This window comes from Homo sapiens, chromosome X (genome assembly GCF_000001405.40).
Source record: "Homo sapiens chromosome X, GRCh38.p14 Primary Assembly".
Lineage (NCBI taxonomy): Eukaryota > Metazoa > Chordata > Mammalia > Primates > Hominidae > Homo > Homo sapiens.
Genome location: NC_000023.11, coordinates 12,011,901 through 12,030,301, shown reverse-complemented (window position 1 = coordinate 12,030,301; position 18,401 = coordinate 12,011,901). Strand labels below are relative to the sequence as shown.

At 38.4% G+C, this 18,401-nt stretch overlaps 1 protein-coding gene across 2 annotated transcripts in view; it reads right to left on the bottom strand.

Annotated features, from left to right (window-relative positions):
• FRMPD4 (FERM and PDZ domain containing 4) overlaps nucleotides 1-18,401 on the bottom strand; it is a 902,085-nt gene that overhangs the window by 694,222 nt on the left and 189,462 nt on the right. The gene's annotated exons all lie outside the window — the stretch shown is intronic.

Sequence of the window (18,401 nt, the reverse complement as noted above, 5' to 3'; positions counted from 1 at the left end):
TGTTAATGCTAATAGAGTGGTGCTGAACTGGAAGGGAACAACAAAAGATGTTGCAATGTAGATGCTAACTTTTCTAGAAAACCTTTTGCTTTGAGATGATCTAGAAGACATAGCATTCTCCTACCAGGATGCCAGTGTGCCTCATGAGGTCTGGAAAGTTTCTTATGATTCTATAAGTTAGACTGGTTTTTAGCGTTACCACAATAGCATAAAGGTAAAAACACAGTGGTGCTGTTAGGGGTGGGGTCCTAATATATGTAACAATTCTCATTTGATCTACAATAATTCTCATTTGACAGATGATAAATGTGAGGCTCAGAAATGTTAGGACCAGAAATGAGTATACAGAATGTGTTATGTTGAATTGGAAGGTCTCCAAGATTCTCACCCCCTTGGTATATATGCCCTATGTAATCCCCTCCCTTAAGTGTAAACATGGCCTGTTTTTATGATGGTGGAGTCATTCTCATGATTAGGTTATATTAAATGGCAGGGATGAAGGCATTTTTGTAGATATAATCAAAGCCCCTAATTAGTTGACATTAATTTAATCAAACGGGATATTGGCTGAGTGAGCATGACCTAAAGAGGTGATCCCTTTAAAACAGAGTTTATGCAAAAAGAAAAAAAGTAATGGAGACACAGACTTTACACCCTTCAAAAAAATTAACTCGAAATGGATCACAGACGTAAATGTAAAATGCAAAACTATAAAACCCCTGGAAGATAACATGGGAGAAAATCTAGATAACTTTGGGCTTAACAATGACTTCTTAGATACAACACTAAAGGCATGATCCATGAAAGAAAGAACTGATAAGCTGGACTTCATTAAAATTAAAAATATCTGCTCTGCAAAAGACACTGTCAACAGAATGAAAAGATATGCCACTGACTGGTAGAAAATATTTGCAAGAGATACATCTGATAAAGGACTGCTATCCGAAATATACCAAAAACTCAATAATTAAATAAGTAACCCAATTTTTAAAATGGGCCAAAGAAATTCACAGACACTTCAACAAAGAAGATATACAGATGGCAAATAAGCATATGAAAAGATATTCCACATCATGTCACCAGGGAAATGCAAATTAAAACAACTAAATACCACCACACACCTATTAGACTGACCAAAATCCAGAACATTATCAACAACAAATGTTAGCAAGGTCGTGTAGCAACAAGAACTCCTACTCATTGCTAGTGGGAATGCAAAATGGTACAGCCACTTTGGAAGACAGTTTAGCAGTTTCTTATGAAACTAAACATACTCTTACCATACAATCAAACAGTTACACTCTTTGGTACTTTCCCAAAGGAGTTGAGAACCTATGTCCACACAAAAACTTGCACATGGATGTTTACAGCAGCTTTATTCATAATTGCCAAAACTTGGATGCAACCAAGACATCCTTTAGTAGATAAATGTATAAACTGTGGTACATTCAGACAATGGAATATTATTCATCACTAAAAAGCAGTGGGCTATCAAGCCATGAAAAGACATGGAGAAAACTTAAATACATATTACTAAGTGAAAGAAGCCAATCTGAGAAGGCTATATACTGCATGATTCCAACTATATGACATTGTGGAAGTCAAAACTATGCAGATAGTAAAAAGATCAGTGGTTCTCAGGAGTTGGGGGGAAATAAGAGATGAATACGTAGAACACAGAGGATTTTTAGGGCAGTGAAACTTCTCTTTATGATACTATATTGGTAGACACATGTTATTACACACTTGTCTTAACCCATAAAATGTACAACACCGAGAATGAACCCTAATATAAAACATAGGCTTTGGGTGATAATGATGTAGCAATGTAGGTTCATGAATTGTAACAAATGTACCACTCTAGTGTGAGATGCTGATAATGGCGAAGGCTATGCATGTGTGGGGCTAGGGAGTATATGGAGAAATCTCTATAACTTCCTCCCAGTCTTGCTGTGAACCTAAGAATGCTCTAAAAAATAAAGTCTATTCAAACAAACAAACAATCCCCACACATTAACAACAACAAAAGAATGCCTAGAGATTAGAGAGATTCTCCTGCTGGTTTTGAAGAAGCAGCTGGCCACCAACAAGAAAAGTGGGGACTTCAGTCCTATAAGTGCAAAAGACTCAATTCTGCCAAAAACCTCATGAGCTTCGTAGTGGACTCAGCCTGGCTGACATCTTGCTTTCAAGCTTGTGACGTGCTGAGCAGAGAACGTAGTTAAGCCACACATGGACTCCTGGCCCATATAAACTGCATGTTTTTTAAGCCACTAATTCTGTGGCAATTTGTTATGCAGCAATTGAAAACGAACGCATCCTTTATGTTGGGTTATAAAATTCAATGGTTGGCAACAGAAGAAGACTAGTGACTTATTTAATAAACTTGCTTCTTCCATCTTATAGGAACTTCAAAGATATGAGCACTATTTAAACACCAGACAATAGAAAATGGTTTATTTTCAGTGGTTTATAAGCAAATGATTTCTTTATATTTAAGATTACACTGGCCATTTCTCAGGAGTAATTTCATCTATACAAGTAACCTAACCCAGATATTAGTTTTACTATTCCTTTTGACTAGGAAAACAATTTAGTTTAAAATATTTCATTCGATGTCAATAACTGCATTATGAAGTCCAATTTAAAAGAATCAAGGACTGAAATATTTTTATTTGATTTTTTTTTTGCATCAGGACTATTGTTGCTTATTTTATTTATACCTCAGCAAATTTATTTTCAGGAAGCAAAGGCTGAAGAATGAGTATTGACTTCCCTGAACAGTTATTGCTGATCACTCTGTCACACTCAATGTAACAGGAAGAAATTGTTTCAGGCTGATTTTAGTTTTCCTCACACAGATTACTCACTCACATCACATGATGGCATCAAATATTTATGTGGTTGAGGAAATTATAGTTTCTCACAATTCAAGATTTGAAGATTGTCTCTAGCTATAGATAAAGAATACATTGGACTGATGAGAGAACAAACTGAATTAACTTTGAAGACCTACAAGTAATAAGCCATCTAAAAAGCCTTAGTCATAAGGAGTTTAAGCCTTTTGATAAGAATTTTCAGAGTAACAATGAGCCCTAGATTAGATTACTTCGTTTTTGCAAGTAAACAGGTTGAACAGATATAAGTCAAAAGGAAGCAGAACTCTAAGTGATATAAGAAGTTACAACAATTTCATCTTTTTAACAATCAAATAAGCTGCCTTGTGAGATAATGAGTTGACAATCACTAGAAGTGATTATGCAGAAGTTGGAAAATCACCAGTTATGAAGGCTATAGAGCAAATTCCTATACTATATGGGAGAGTGAACACAAAAACCAGTAAAAGTCACCATTTCAATCTAAGAGATTTCATGATTCTAAAAACATGACGTGATCAGTTAAAGAGAAATCCTACACCATTACACGCTTGTATTAAGCCATGATTTATGACATGAAATATATATATCACCCATTATATATTACAAGAAAAATACGAATTAATGTTTTTTTTTCCCTCCTTAGGTATAATGCAATCTTGATAATTATTGCTTGACCAACTCATTGATGGTGAAGGGCAGAATGCCCAGACACAGTTGCTGGTATTTAAGACTTCACTCCTAGTGATTCATACATGGGGAGGGTAATTAAGGAAGGAAAGAGAACAATTAAAGGATAGAATACAATGGCACATGCATAGCTTTATCAACCACCACTTTCTGCACAGTGCTTGAAAATTATGCCTTAAACAAGTTGGGATCAAGAAAGATCCTCAATATCATTTCCTTGAGAAATCATTAGTATATTGGGTAGCAATATGAAATAATATGATCTTCTTCTCATAGAACCAATTATCTCCTTTTCAGAGACTTTTCACATTTCTCGGTTAAATTAATTTATATCTCCCTTATTTTATTGCAAAATCCATGATGCAGGAACAATGTTAAGTTTTTATCTCCATCCCTAGTACTTAAAAAAGGACCTCAGTGATACATAAAAATGTATTAAATAAGTAAACAAATAAATTGATAAGGAAAAGAAGACAGGAGGATAAAACAACCTTAACATTCCCTAAGGATTCTGTCTAAAGACCTCTTATTTCTCTCTCAAGGCAAGAGATGATGGTGGCTTGGCCTAGTGTATGCCAACGGAGATAGAAGCTACAGGACTAGCAAATGGGTTGCTGTGGAGGATAAGAAAGAGGCATGAGTCAAGAAAGACTTTATAATCTGAATATCCAAGTGAATTGTTTATTGATATGTAGACCACTGAGAGATGAATAGGACTTGTATTAGTTATATTAGTTATCTAATACTATGTAACAAATTACCCCCAAAATGAGCAGCTTAAAATAACAAACATTTATTATGTCATTATTTCCGTGGGTCAGGTGCCCCAGTGTGGTTTAGCTGCACCCTCTCTGGCTCAGGGTTTCTCACAAGAGTGCAATTGAGGTGTCAGCAGTAGTTGCAGTCATCAGGCTTAACTGTGGCAGGAACCACTTCCAAGTTCACACTCCTGTAGTCATTGGCAGAGTCCAGTCCTTTAACAATCAAATGGTTGTTGGCCCAAGGCTGTTCTCAGTTCCTTGATATGTGGTTCTCTCCATCAGGCAGTTCAGAACATGACAAATGGGTTCCTCAGAGTGAACAAGTAAGGAAAGCCACAGAGAATGCAAACAAGATGGAAGTCAGTCTTTTGTAACCTAATCTTGGAAGTGGCATCCCATCATTTTTGCCATAGATTCATTAGAAGCAATTCAGTGAGTCCAGTCTGTACACAAGGGAGGAGATTACACAAAGATGTGACAAAATGTGAATACTAGGAGGCCAGCTTGTTGAGGGCCATTTTAAAAGCTCTTTATTACAGGTTTACACAGAAAAATCAGGAGTTCCTTTTTTTTTTCTTAGATGTCCTAAGTTTGACCTTGAATGGCCTCTGAGATACCTAAGAGGAGGAGTCAAGTAGGCAATTGTCATGATTCATGAGTCTGGAGCTTAGAGGGGAGGTATGGACAGGAGACACCACTTTGAAGAGTATCAACCTATATTTAAAGTCACATAAATAAGTGAGATCTTCCAGGAAAAAAAAAAATGGAAAGAGAGATAAGGGAAAAGGATTCAAGACCAAGAGTGGGGAATTTTGACATTTTTAGGTTACACAGAAGAAAGAAGGTAATGAAAACCAAGAAGTAGCCAGAGGAGAAGGGGGAAAAACCAAGACTCTTGAGGTTATAGAGCCAAGAGAAAAAAAAATTGTACAATAAAAGATGGTCAATTATGGCAAATGTTGCAGAGAGGCAGAATAAGATGCAGACAGTGACATTATTGTTTTTTAAATAAAAATGTGGAAAAAGAATAATTATATATTGGCAAGAGACCAGGTAAATAAATTGCGGAATATTCATACAATGGACTACTGTGAGCAATTAAAATGAATGCAAAAGGGAGTCACTCCCATCAACATGGAAAAAACTCAAAAACATAATGTTAACAAAAAGCAACTGCTGCAAAACAGATATTACTTAAAAGCTTAAAAGCTAAAACTAAGTATATATTTGTATAAATCCATTTGTATATAGAAATAATGTAAAAGCAAGCATGTGAATTATTTTTTAAAATCATGAAAATGTTACCTCTGGGGAGGGGGTAGGGAAAATGCGATCAGGAAGAAGTATACAACAGCTACTTCTCTGTAAGGCATCATTCCTTTCTAAAATGTGAAAACAAGTATAGGATAATACATGGATTTTCTTGATATTATTCTCTCTTTCTGTCTATATGCTTAAAATGTGTCATAGTGAAAGTTTTAAATTAACAAAATTTGACAAGATTTGGCAACTCTTTCAAGAGTGGCTTTAAGTGGAGTAAGTTAAAATGGACTAAAAAGAAACTAAACTTCACTCTCTGAGTGACCTTGGAGAAATTATTTTACTTCTCCGAACTTCAGTTTTCTCATCTGTACAATGGTATATAAGTGCCTGAATATGTGGGTGTGTACATGCATGAGTATGTATGTGTACATATATATGCATGACACATTCATAAATGCACAGACACACACATATGCACGTATCATAAATGTATTGCAGGCAATAAACAAATTAGAGCTATAATTCAACCTTCATGGTGAGAACTAAAAAAAGACAATCTTTCAGAGCTTAGCTAGAGTACAGATTATAGATAAAAGAAATGGAAATGGAAGGCAAAAGAAAATGGCAGGGAATATTGCCAAATGGTGTTCATATCTGTCTGAATTAGTACAAAGAAAGGAGAAGTAAAAAGAACTTCAGAAGCTTTGTGGTTCGACTGCAGTTACCTGACTTTAGAAAAAAAAGTAGTCTCCCAGCCCTACCTTCTTCACCACTGCCACTCTCCCAATAAAGATTCAAGGAACAAAGCGAATGGGCATCTCTTTAGCAACTGCTTAACTAAGAAATGGCAGGCTGAGGCAGGAACCTAAAGAAGATGATCACTGTAGTTATGACTAGGATGGGAAAGGCAAACTAAGCTTAAAGACCCTGAGCAGAAACTTAAAGGGAGTTATTGCTTAAAAAAAAATGGAGCAGAGTTCCTGGAGGTGGATGAGAGAGCATAAAGACCTGAGAACATTTCTCCAAGTGCCCCGTGTCCATTACTGGCAAAGAGTCATCCAACCATTGCCTTTCAAGTGACTACTAAGTGCCAGGCACTGTTCTTTGCATGAAGACACCATCAGTAAATAGGAAAAAGCCCATGGCTTCATGAAGGTTATATTCTAGTGGTAGGAAATGGTAAATAATCAAAGAAATTACAAGCAATGGTAACTTAGAAAAGCAAAGCAGATGGGCACTATGGGGAAGGGTTGGAAATTAAAAATCCAGTGAGCAGGAACAAACTCATTGATAAGATGTCATGTGCCATGCGTGGGAATTTGAGTCCAGGAGATGAGGGATGACTGAGGGGTCTGAACTTCTTGGGTCTCCTGGTGTGTCTTAGTCTGTTCAGGCTGCTATAAGAGAATGCCATAGACTGGGTGTCCTATAAACAATAGAAATTTATTTCTCAAAGTTCTGGAGGCTGAAAAGTATACGATCAAGGCATTGGCAGATGGGAGTCTGGTGAGTGTCTTCTTTCTGCTTCCTAGTTAGCCATCTTTTCACTGTAACCTCATATGGTAGAAGGGATGAGGGAGCTTTCTGGGTTCTCTTTTGTAAGGGCACTAATCCCATACATGAGGGCTCCAACTTTATGACATAGTCACCTGACAAAGGACACAATTCTTAATTCCATAACCTTGAGAGTTAGGAATTCAATATCTGAATTTCAGGACAACACAAACATTCAGTCCATAGCATAGTGCAGACAGGGATAAAAAAACAAGATGAGATTTGAACTGATGGTTTCAAGTCACATCGATAGTGGCAGCAAGACTGAGTGTGGTAGGGGGAAAGAGGGAGGATTGGGGGACGTGAGACAGAGTGATCTAGCCAGCTGCATACAAATCCCCAGGGCTCCTTCTTGACTCTGGTTTGTTTTTTATAAGAAGTTTGAGATAAATACCCTACCGAAAGCCAAGACTAAATTGGCGGTAGAAGAAATACATTGTTGGTTCCCAACTCTGCTTCAGATGGGAGACACTGTGAAGGATTCTGTGATTAGAGGCATCAGCACAGGGGAGAGCCTGCATCCGAAGAGAGATGAGCATGGAGATACCTAGATCTGGGCTTTCAGAGACATAATGATGCTGGTGATGTCTTGAGCATAACTGAGAAGGCTGGGTGCATCATGTCCCAGCCCAGCTTCATGCTGATTTAACATGGAATGACCTAGGAGTGAGCTGCTCCTGGCAAGGGAGAAGAGAAGTGCAGAAGTATTTAATCTTCATGTCCATTTCTGAGAGAAACCCTAGTACTGAAAATCTCTGATGTGTGTCTTTTAGCAGGGAAAGAGTGGGCCTAACTCTCAAGGAAGAGTGAACTCAGCAACTTTCCTGTGCTAGCACATGGGCTGAAGGTGTGCATGCTGTCAGCAGTTCTCACAAATGCAGATGGCCTTTTAGTTGAAATACTAGCAAAAAGTTTCCCAGTGCTTATACTGACCAGACAGTTTCTAAAGTGCTTTATATGTATTATGTCATTGAATTTTTTTCATTTAAACATACATACTGTACCAACTATTGATTAGGCATCATACCAAGTTCTGGGGACACAAACGAATGACACATTTCTGGCTGAGAACTCATGATCTATGGGAGGGGATCCTGGGGATTTTCCAATCCAACCTTTTGATATGCAAGGAGGAAGAAACTGAGGCCCAGAGAAAGTCTTACTTGCCCATGGTGACACAGCAGAGCACAGCTTAGCACCAGAGCAGAGGCTGTCACCCAAGCCTTCCAGCTCTCACTCTGTGCTCTTTCAGCTATGCTGAAGGTCTCAACCAGTAACATGGTGTTGTTCTGGGACACAGTCCAACATGTCACCAGCAAGTTGATAAGCTCAAAAGACTTAAGGCTCCAAAATGCTCCAAGGAAAATATCTGCCTATATGCTTGATGTGAAAACGGGACTTCTTCTGACTAGTGATCTAGTAATATCCCAGGAACTAGCTGTGCATAAATTTCCAGGGTCAAAATTTAACACTAGATGAGTATTTTAAGTGTTGAGAAAATAATCTTCCCAAGGGCCAATGGATTTTTAAAAAACACATTTGGGAGCAGATAGAAGCAGGCAGGGGAGGCTTTTCCTAATAGAACCTGTGCTTGCATAGGTTATGAAGAACTGAATAGAACTGGAATAATAATTTTTAAATTACTGTTATGCTTATTTCATGTTTGAACCTTGTTCCTTTAAATGATATTGAGTTATTTAAGCCCCAAATGAATATTTTGTTAATATTTGATGAATATAATTATCAATTCGATTTGTCAGCCATGTAAACCAATAATTTTTTTTTAAAGTAAGAGAACTGTTCAGTCCCCTTAAATTCACAGCCTTACAGGATGTAGAGAGAAGAAAGCACAGAAGTGTTTTTATATATCACTTGAACACTGCTCTAACACTTCTCATTTGGGAAAGAAAAAAGAAGTATGTTAAACAGGTAAATATGTTATTATTTTCAGTTATTTTTTATATAGGTTTGAGGCTAGAAAAAACAGACTCAGCAAAATACCTCTCCACTCCTGGGCAATTTGATTTTAAATAAACTGATGCATTGACTCGTGGGTATATCTATCTGCATGCAATTTTTAATTTAATAGACAAATAATCTCTTATAGTCAGCTATGAGAAGGCAGATGAGATCACAGGATTCTTGAATAGCACAGCTCACTAGGACAGACCTCTGTAAAACCATTTTATTTCAATACAGATTTGAAAGCTGATTAACATACATGTTTGTGGGGGAAATAATAGAAATAGGGTATTATAACCAGATTTTGCCAAGACTTTAGACAAAAATTTTCCCAATATCCTAAGGACAAGGTAGAGAATCATGGCCTGCATGATGATTTGGTTTGGGGAATTTTTTTGAATGGTAGAAAGACTCTACTCAAAGGGGGTTGATTAATTAATTGAAACCCTACAATGGATGCATACTGCAGGGCTCTCTATAGCATGCATTCACTCAACATTTATTTGTTCTCGTGCAATTTCCTTTTCCTCCTGGACACATACATATGTAACTCAATTACATCTTTCAGCCTCCCCTGCAGTTCCATGTGGCCAGGTGACTGAGCTCTGGCCAGTAGAGTAATGTGCACCATTTCCAGGCCTGGCTCATGAAAACTTCCCTTTCGCAGTTCTTCATACACTATCCATTCTCCTACTGGCAGGAAGAAAGACAACCCTGGGGCAGTCCTGGAAGCCAGGTGATGAAAACAACAGAGTCATGAGGTGAAAGAAAACCAGGCCTTTACATTTTCCCTGGGAGAAGAGCCACCTAACCAGAAACACCTACAATGACTGGTTGTGTGAACAAGAAATAAACTTCACTGTGTTAAGCCATTAAGATTGCAGGGTTAATCCATATATTACTGTAGGTTGCATCACCTTAAACAGTAAATAAATTCTTGCTATGTGCAAAGTACTGTGCTGAAGGTTATGGGGGATACAAATATAAAAATCCAGATAACTTTTTAAATTAAAGAGTTAGCACCTAGATCAGGAGATAGATGTTGATATTCATAACCCAAGAGAGAGTGATAAATGATACAATAAGAGTACAATAAAGGGTACGGTGGTTAAACATAAGCTCTGGAGCTAGATGTCACGTGTTCAAATTCCAGATCTGCCACTAACAACTCTGTGACTTTGGGAAAGTTACTTATTTTCTCTGAACCTCAGTTTCTATATACATAAAACAAGGCTGCAAACAGGACTTATCTCACAGATTGTCGTGAGGATTAAACTAATTAATACATGCAAAGCACTGTGAACATTCCTGACACATAGTGAGTGCTTAAAAATGTTATCGTCATCATTATTATGGGGCAAGGGGAGGAAATGAGGTTGTATCCAACTGAAAGGGCCAAAGGCAGCTTCCTGCAGGTATCATTTGAACTTGGCCTTGATAGATGGGTAGAGCCTGGATATTTAGAAGTCACGGCTTGGGGTCCATATCTTCAAAGCAGAGAGGAAAGGCACACATACAGGGAGGACATTATGGGGCAAGTGATTAAAAAAAAAAAAGTGAGCAGTCCAGTTGAGTTCTCACCCAGGGAACCTGCAGGGAAGAAGAGGGTCCAGGTTGTAGAAGCACGAAAGCTCTATTGAGGAGTTTGGCATTTCTTTACGCCAAACTCTTTTATATTGGGAGTAACAGAAGGTACTAACCAGGGGAATGGCTTAGTCAGAGCTGTATAAGAGAAAGATTAATCTAGCAACAGAGTGTAAACAGGATTGAAGAGAGGAGAGAGAGGGAGAGAGAGAGAGAGACACTGGTTAGAAAGTTATGAATATGTGAAAGCCGGAGACAATTAGGAACCTGGTATGGTGGTTTAGCTGTGAATTAATGAGGACCAGAACTAGGATAATGACAACGGGGCTGAGGAAGAAAGATATTATGAGACAAAGATTTTCAGAGGAATGGTATCCAAGTCAGTATTTGATATTGGCCCCAAACTCATTATCTGCCATTCTGTTATCCAAAAAAAAAAAAAAATCTCTAAACAAAAAATTGAAACTCATTTGGCAGTAAAGTGGGTTCTGAATGGATAAGATCATATCAGAGTTCTTTATTTATCTCACTTAGTGTTAATATAATTGTATTTTCTGTGAAAATAATACAGTGTTTGAACACATGGTGTTACTCTACAACGTGGTGGGAGTAATACTTAATAGATGGTATATGCACTGTACTGCCTTTCTACTATCTGAAAACATCTGAATTCCAAAACACCTCTGGCCAAAGGACTTTGTGTAAGAGATTCGTGCATGTGTTATGAGTTGAATTGCATCTCCCAAAAAGATATGTTGAAGTCCTAACCTGTGGTACCTGTGATTGTGACATTATTTGAAAATAGGGTCTTTGCAGATGTAATCAAATTAAGATGAGTCATTAGGGTGGGCTCTAATCCAAAATGACTGGTCTCTTTATAACAAGGGGAAATCTGGACCGGGAATGGTGACTCACACCTGTAATCCTAGCACTTTGGGAGGCCAAGGCGGGCAGATCACCTGAGGTCAGGAGTTCGAGACCAGCCCGGCCAACATGGTGAAACCCCCATCTCTATTAAAAATACAAAAATTACCTGGGTGTGGTAGTGGGCACCTATAATCCCAGCTACTTGGGAGACTGAGGCAGGAGAATCTCTTGAACCCTGGGGGTGGAGGTTGCAGTGAGCCGAGATCGCACCACTGCACTACAGCCTGGGCCAAAGAGCAAAAGTCTGTCTCAAAAACAAAAAAAACAAAAAAACAAAAAAAAAGAAGGGGAAATCTGTACACAGAGACAGACACACACAGAGGGAAGAACACCCTGTGAACATGGAATATGGAGGCAGAGTTTGGAGTTAATGTGACTGCAAGCCAAGGAACACCAAGGATAGCTGGTAAACACAGAAGCTGAGAGAAAGGCATGATACAGATTTTCCCTCGATTCTTCAGAGAAAGCATGACCTTGTCAACACCTTTATCTTAGACTTCTAGACTAGAGAGCTGTGAGAGATTAAGTTCCTGGTTGTTTTTTTTTTTCCCACTGTAGTTTGTGGTTCTTTGTTACAGCAGCCCTAAAAAACTAATGCAAAGTGGTATAGTTTGTATGGTTCTCTTTTTAATTTATAAAAAATTGCTCTCATTATCTTAGTTACAAAACTCCTTGTGGAAGAGGTGATATTGAGCCTCATATTTCTCATCTATTAAATGGAAATGAAAAGACTAGGACAATGTCACTCAGCTAGCTATCCAGATAGCCAGGACCCAATTCAATAATTACTTCTCAAATACATACCATGCTCCAGTTACCAAGCTAGAACCTGGGTTAAATGTTGAAAATAACCCTTGAGCTCCTTTCAGTCTAGAGAATCAAGGTGCTGTGAATGTATACTGCTAATCCTCCCACATAGAGCCTCATATAGTCCATCTTTTGAGAGAGAATAAGGACCCCAAGATTTGAATTTGAACTATCAACAGAAAACCATATAGTCTTTAGTTCCTATTCCCTAGGGACAATAAAAGCATTTACAATAGGAGACAAATTACAAAAAATAGAGGAGAAATTAATAGTTTTATATCATAAACCTCTCCCTTATTTTTGGACAATATACTCTTGACCCTTCACTGACCATTTATTGGGCCTGAACGAGCTCTTTCATGAAGGGCTGTGTTTGATGTCCCTTTGACATAAAAAATGTTTTAAAAAAAGAATTGATAGTTAAGTACTTCAAATGTGGACATCTGAAACTGAGCTTACTCATAAAATCAGATTCCAGGGAATAACCAGTTCCTGACTTGCTGAGAGAGGATGTTATAAACACAGCCATGGGCAGAAAGTCTAGCTTCTATTTTGTGGCTGGAATATGTTCATGTTACATACTCATATAAATGTCCTGAACAGTCCCATCCTCTTCTGCTTCTCTGCATTCAGCCCTGCAAAATAATTCAATGAGTTACAAGGGCCCAGCCAAAGAACCAAGGAAGCAGAGGCAGAGTGTTAGTAGTCATTGCTTGAGAAGGTACTAGAAGTGAGAGCAGGAAATGGATCAGAATCCACAAGATAAGCCAGTAAGGAAGCGTACACAAACTATCCAAGATCAGGGCAAGTAAAGAGCCCAAAGCTAGGTCAATCAGCATGAAGCAGGAGGATATAAATAGTAGCAGTATATGGAGCAAGCCTATTCTAAGGCACACAACAGCCTAGTCAATGGGGAAAGAAAGGAACAGTGTAAAGCTCAGGTCAAGATGCAAGCTCTGGAGAAGGAAGGCCAGGGTTTGCTTCCAATAGAGGCTTTGGCTTGCTTCATTGGAAAGGTGAGCTTTTCCCCTGTGTGGACAGGCTGAGGTCCATAGCTGGCGTCATTTGGGAAAATCTCTCCTGAGGAAGAAATGGAGTCGGGAGAGGAGAGAGAGAGGCGTTCTCTAACTTTAGTTGTACTTTGGCCTATATACCTCACCTTCCAAAAGCAGAGATTTCCATTTGTTGGCAATGTACTCTGTATATTTAAGTATGGAAAAATTATTTTAACCTAAAGTTATAAGGATAGTGCTCCATGTAATTTTTTTTTCCTTTAGCTAACCTTCCTTTGCCTAATGACAAGAGGTATAACTCTCAAGGTCAAATAAGCACACTAAATATTCTATAACATAGATGAAAAGGGATTAGGTAAAATAATCTCCCTTCCCCAAAAGCTTTTCCGGAGAAACACATTTGCAGGAATGCATTAGTCATTATTTTTTTTAAAAAAGACAGCTGAGGATAGTTGTATAAAATCAATTCACTCCACATTTAATGCACTCTAGTCTGCTTAATGCACATAATAAGTACGCTAACCACATTGAGCCTCTCTCCTCCAACTCAACCACACTTCATAAGAGGAGCATTAGATAGCCCACAGACCTCATATTTTTCCTTCCATTTCCTTTGACTTAACTCATTCAAGGAGCAACTCTCTCATTTCTCTCTAGGGGTGTCTTGGCCTCACTCTCAACTTTCTTCTCTTCTACTGACTTCTCCAATCATGAGTTCCCAGGAAGGTGTATAATTTTCCCTGCATTACTGTCCAAAGCCAAGTTATAGAATCCAATGGAATGCAACCCTCTTCTCTAGGTAAAATAGTTTTCCTATCGTTCCTTCTTTGCTTATCTTTCTGTGCCACTGCAAGTAAGAGAAACTCTGAAAAGAAAATGGCAATGAAAATCAGCAGAGTGATTATTTTTCTTGTGTGAAAATAAAGCCCCAATGAGTATGGTGGCTCTGTGATGTCAATAGGGAGTCTATTTCACATCTGTCTTTCTGCTCAGCCTCAGCATAGTGTGTGGCTGTCATCTCATGCCTGCTGCCTCATGGTTACAAAGTAGCTGCTTCTCCTCTTCCAATATTGTGACTGTGCCCAAAGTAGGAACAGAAACAGGATGATAGGCAAAAGCTACCCAAGTCAGCTGTATTTCTTGCTATTCTAAAGAACATCCCTTGAAGACTAACTGTATGTATTTTACCTACATCTTAATGGTCAGTCAGAATTATGTCACATGGCCAGCCATAAATGCACAGGAGACTAGGAAATGTAGATTTTACATGGAAAAATTTCCACCCCAAACACAATAGGATTATTTTAGATAGAATAAAAGGAGCAAAATATGTAAGCTATCTGGTGACAGACACAAAAGAAACAATTACAAAAATGTACAATAACAAGCTTTGGTAAGTCGAAAAATGAAAAAAGTGCAGGTTGGTATGAAAGCATCCAATGAGGCAATGTGATCTAATGAGGGGAAGATGAAATGATCACAAAAGAATTATCGATAAGTGAAACCTGAGAAATAAATAGGAATTAGCTAAGATGAGGGGCAGTGTGTTCTCTTCTTTCTACCTTCAGACTGGGGAGATGGCCAAACAGACCTGGAAACTAAGCTTTTTAAACTTACTATGAAATGAACTACAATATAAGATAGGGTAAGGGATGGTAGCATGTATTCTTAAAATTCCTGAACTTGGAAATGACAATCTTGCCAAAGTTAGTCTACATAAAGATCAATCCCTTTGACCACACTTTTAGAATTAAAAAAAAATTGTCAAGAATGTTGCTTTTTTCAAAATCCAAGCATAGTGTTGCCAGTTACAGAAATGCAGCAAAGAATTCGCCCACTCTTCTTCTTCTTTATATATCTGTGGGTCCAACCACAGAGTCCTCATCAAGCTAATTTATTTGTCCTTTACTGTCTAGAATGGTGTTTTACACTGTTATTTATTGGGAAAGGGAGGAAGATTTGCACTTTAATCATCACAACTCCACCTTTAGATCCTTATATCCCACTTCTCTGTCATGGGCTACGGTACTTATGCAGTTATCGCCTCCACTGAAGCTTATACTCAATAAAAATCACAGAGTACTTGATGCTGTATATTTTCAGCAGCTATCCAGACACAGCTCTCTCTCCCTCAAATTCCCTAAACACACACACACACAGACACACACTCCAGTATGTATATAATTCTGTTTTCTGCATCCATAGACTTTTTTCTTTTGCTCCTTCCTCTTTGAAGCACAAAAATCTCTAATGGAAAAATACTATCTTTTGCTTTCTTGCTTGCTTGCTTCCCATAATACCTCGCTTAACTCTCTGTAAAACGGGCACCAAGTACACAGGGATGCCTATATCCTATCTCTCAAGTCAGACCTAGTCAAATGTTTTAGCTTGCAGAAGTGAGCTTCCAGACCCATGAAACAACTGGAATGTAGCATTAAAAATAAGAACTTGTAAATATTAGGGCAGATAGGATTCACTTGTCATTATAAATTCTAAATGCCATAAAAATAGTTAATTTAGAGCAGAATGATGAATGTCATGAGTTACTGGAACAGCAGATTGGCCCTTCATGGATAGCAGTTGTCTTCTCTCTTGTTTGAGCAGAGAGACCAGAGGATAGACTTTAAGTAGCTCCTGCTCCCTGTCACTTGTTGCTGTCTATTATCAGCAGTAGACTGAGGCACGGTTGAAAACCAGTGACTGTGCTGTCAAATCTGGGGCTGGCGTCCTCTGAATGAAGGTATAGAGGAAATCTGAGTAGATGACTCCTCTCCATTCATGGCATGGGGGAAAAGTGAGACCTGGCTCTAGTAAGGTTTTTAATAAGCACGTTATATGCTTGTCAAGAAAACTAAAATTAAAAAAAAAGTTATATAATATGTCTGATTTGAGGATCATTTTCTAAGAACTGCTAATAAATGGTTTGCATTAAATCAGTTCCATAAGGGTTAGTTCTCAGTATACCATGATGCTTTGTGATTTACATAATGGGCTTAAAGAATATACTCATGTAATATTTTCCTAATAATGCCAAGTTGGCGGATGTGACTGACAGCTGAAGGGAAACATTTGAAATAATTCTGACAAGCTGGAGAATTCTGTGGATACAAACATGGCACAGCCTGGGTCAAATGATAAAGGAAGAAAAAACTAATAACCTCAGAAATTGGCCTATGCCAGGTTCATGTACTAATGGTAATTGTAGCTGGATACCCAGGAGGCAGAGGGAGCTGTAAAATGGTAAATGTCTCCGGAAGGGGAAATGGACAATAAAGAAGCTGATCCTAGCCCTTCATTGATACAGGAGTTAAGATAGGAATGACATTACTGGAGCTTGAGAAAATAGCCTGTGGTCAAGTAAACTAAACATGAGTCAGCAGACTGGCACTGCAGCCAAAACAAGGTAACCTTGAAACTGAGCTGGATAGAGAGGAATATAATGCACAAGGGCCCTGGAGATGATGCTTACCATGTACCCCACAGTGGCGAGATCTTTGGGAGGTCATAAATCTGTTCTTGACATGAATACAAAGGGCTTGATTGATGACTCCTCAGATTAACATACAGAACATAATGGAAAGTTGGGGATATAATGGAGGGAAGGTACAATAAAACCTGTTTACCTTTCCTGGAGAAAGAAAGGCCTCTGAAACAATGTAATACAATGCTAAGCTTGTGATTGTAAAGAAGTAGAGAGTTAATTTTTTTGTTCTGCTGAGAGACATTTCCTTAGAATCCAAGACACTGCTTAATGACTCCCTCTGAACCAGAGACCACTATAAACAATGGGATTCCAGAGCTGGGTTTGGTAGATCTGACCAGAGATTGAAACATTATGGGAAGACCTCTAGGATTCACATACTACCTACTTATGCTGTCAAAACAACTGAACTCAAATACGTCAGTTTAGTCTCATCACTCACTAGTTCTTGAATTTCCCATCATCCTTTCCACTTCTGTGTCTTGTTCATGAAGTTTTCTCAACTTAGTGTCCCTTCCTTTCCCATCCTTCATTGTCTCTTATCTCCTTCTTCTGTCTTTTTCTGCCCCATCGAAGGCTACTATATAAATCAATAAACTACATTTTTTCTTGACAAAACAATAAGTTATAAACACTAATGTTATATAGTTCTTCTCCCAAGAGACAGCATGTTTCCTACTACAGTAAGACACAAATTTTGCATTGATTCTTTAGCAATAGCCTTAACATAGATGCCATGGATTTGCCTAATCCATCCATTTACTATTGTCTGGCCTTCCTGGTTTCCAGAGATAGAAGATTCTTTAGGGAATGGTAGGTATAACCAGTCACATAGCTGGTTTCTAGTACCATAACGAGCTAAGAGAGCAAAAAGTAAATGAAGAGCTAAGAAAAAATGTTAAACAAATTGAATGAACAAAAGGGAGCAAGGACCAATATACCTTCATGATTAAACAAAAAAATAACCCAACAGACTTAGAAAAAAAGGGAACTTCCTCAACCTGGTAAAGGATGTCTACAAATAACCCACAGCTAACTTCATACTTAATGGTGAAAGACCAAAAGCTTTCCACCTAAGATCAGAAAAAAAGACATGGATGTCTGCCTCCACCACTTCTATTCAACATTGTACTGGAGGTTCTAGCCAGGGCAATTAGGCAAGAAAATGAAATAAAAAGCATTCAGGGCTGGGCGCAGTGGCTCACGCTTGTAATCCCAGCACTTTGGGAGGCCAAGGCAGGTGGATCACGAGGTCAAGAGATAGAGACCATCCTGGCCAACATGGTGAAACCCCGTCTCTACTAAAAATACAAAAATTAGCTGGGCGTGGTGGTGTGCGCCTGTAGTCCCAGCTACTCGGGAGGCTGAGGCAGGAGAATCACTTGAACCTGGGAGGCGGAGGTTGCAGTGAGTTGAGATCGCGCCACTGCACTCCAGCCTGGTGACACAGCGAGACTCCATCAAAAAAAAAAAAAAATTCAGA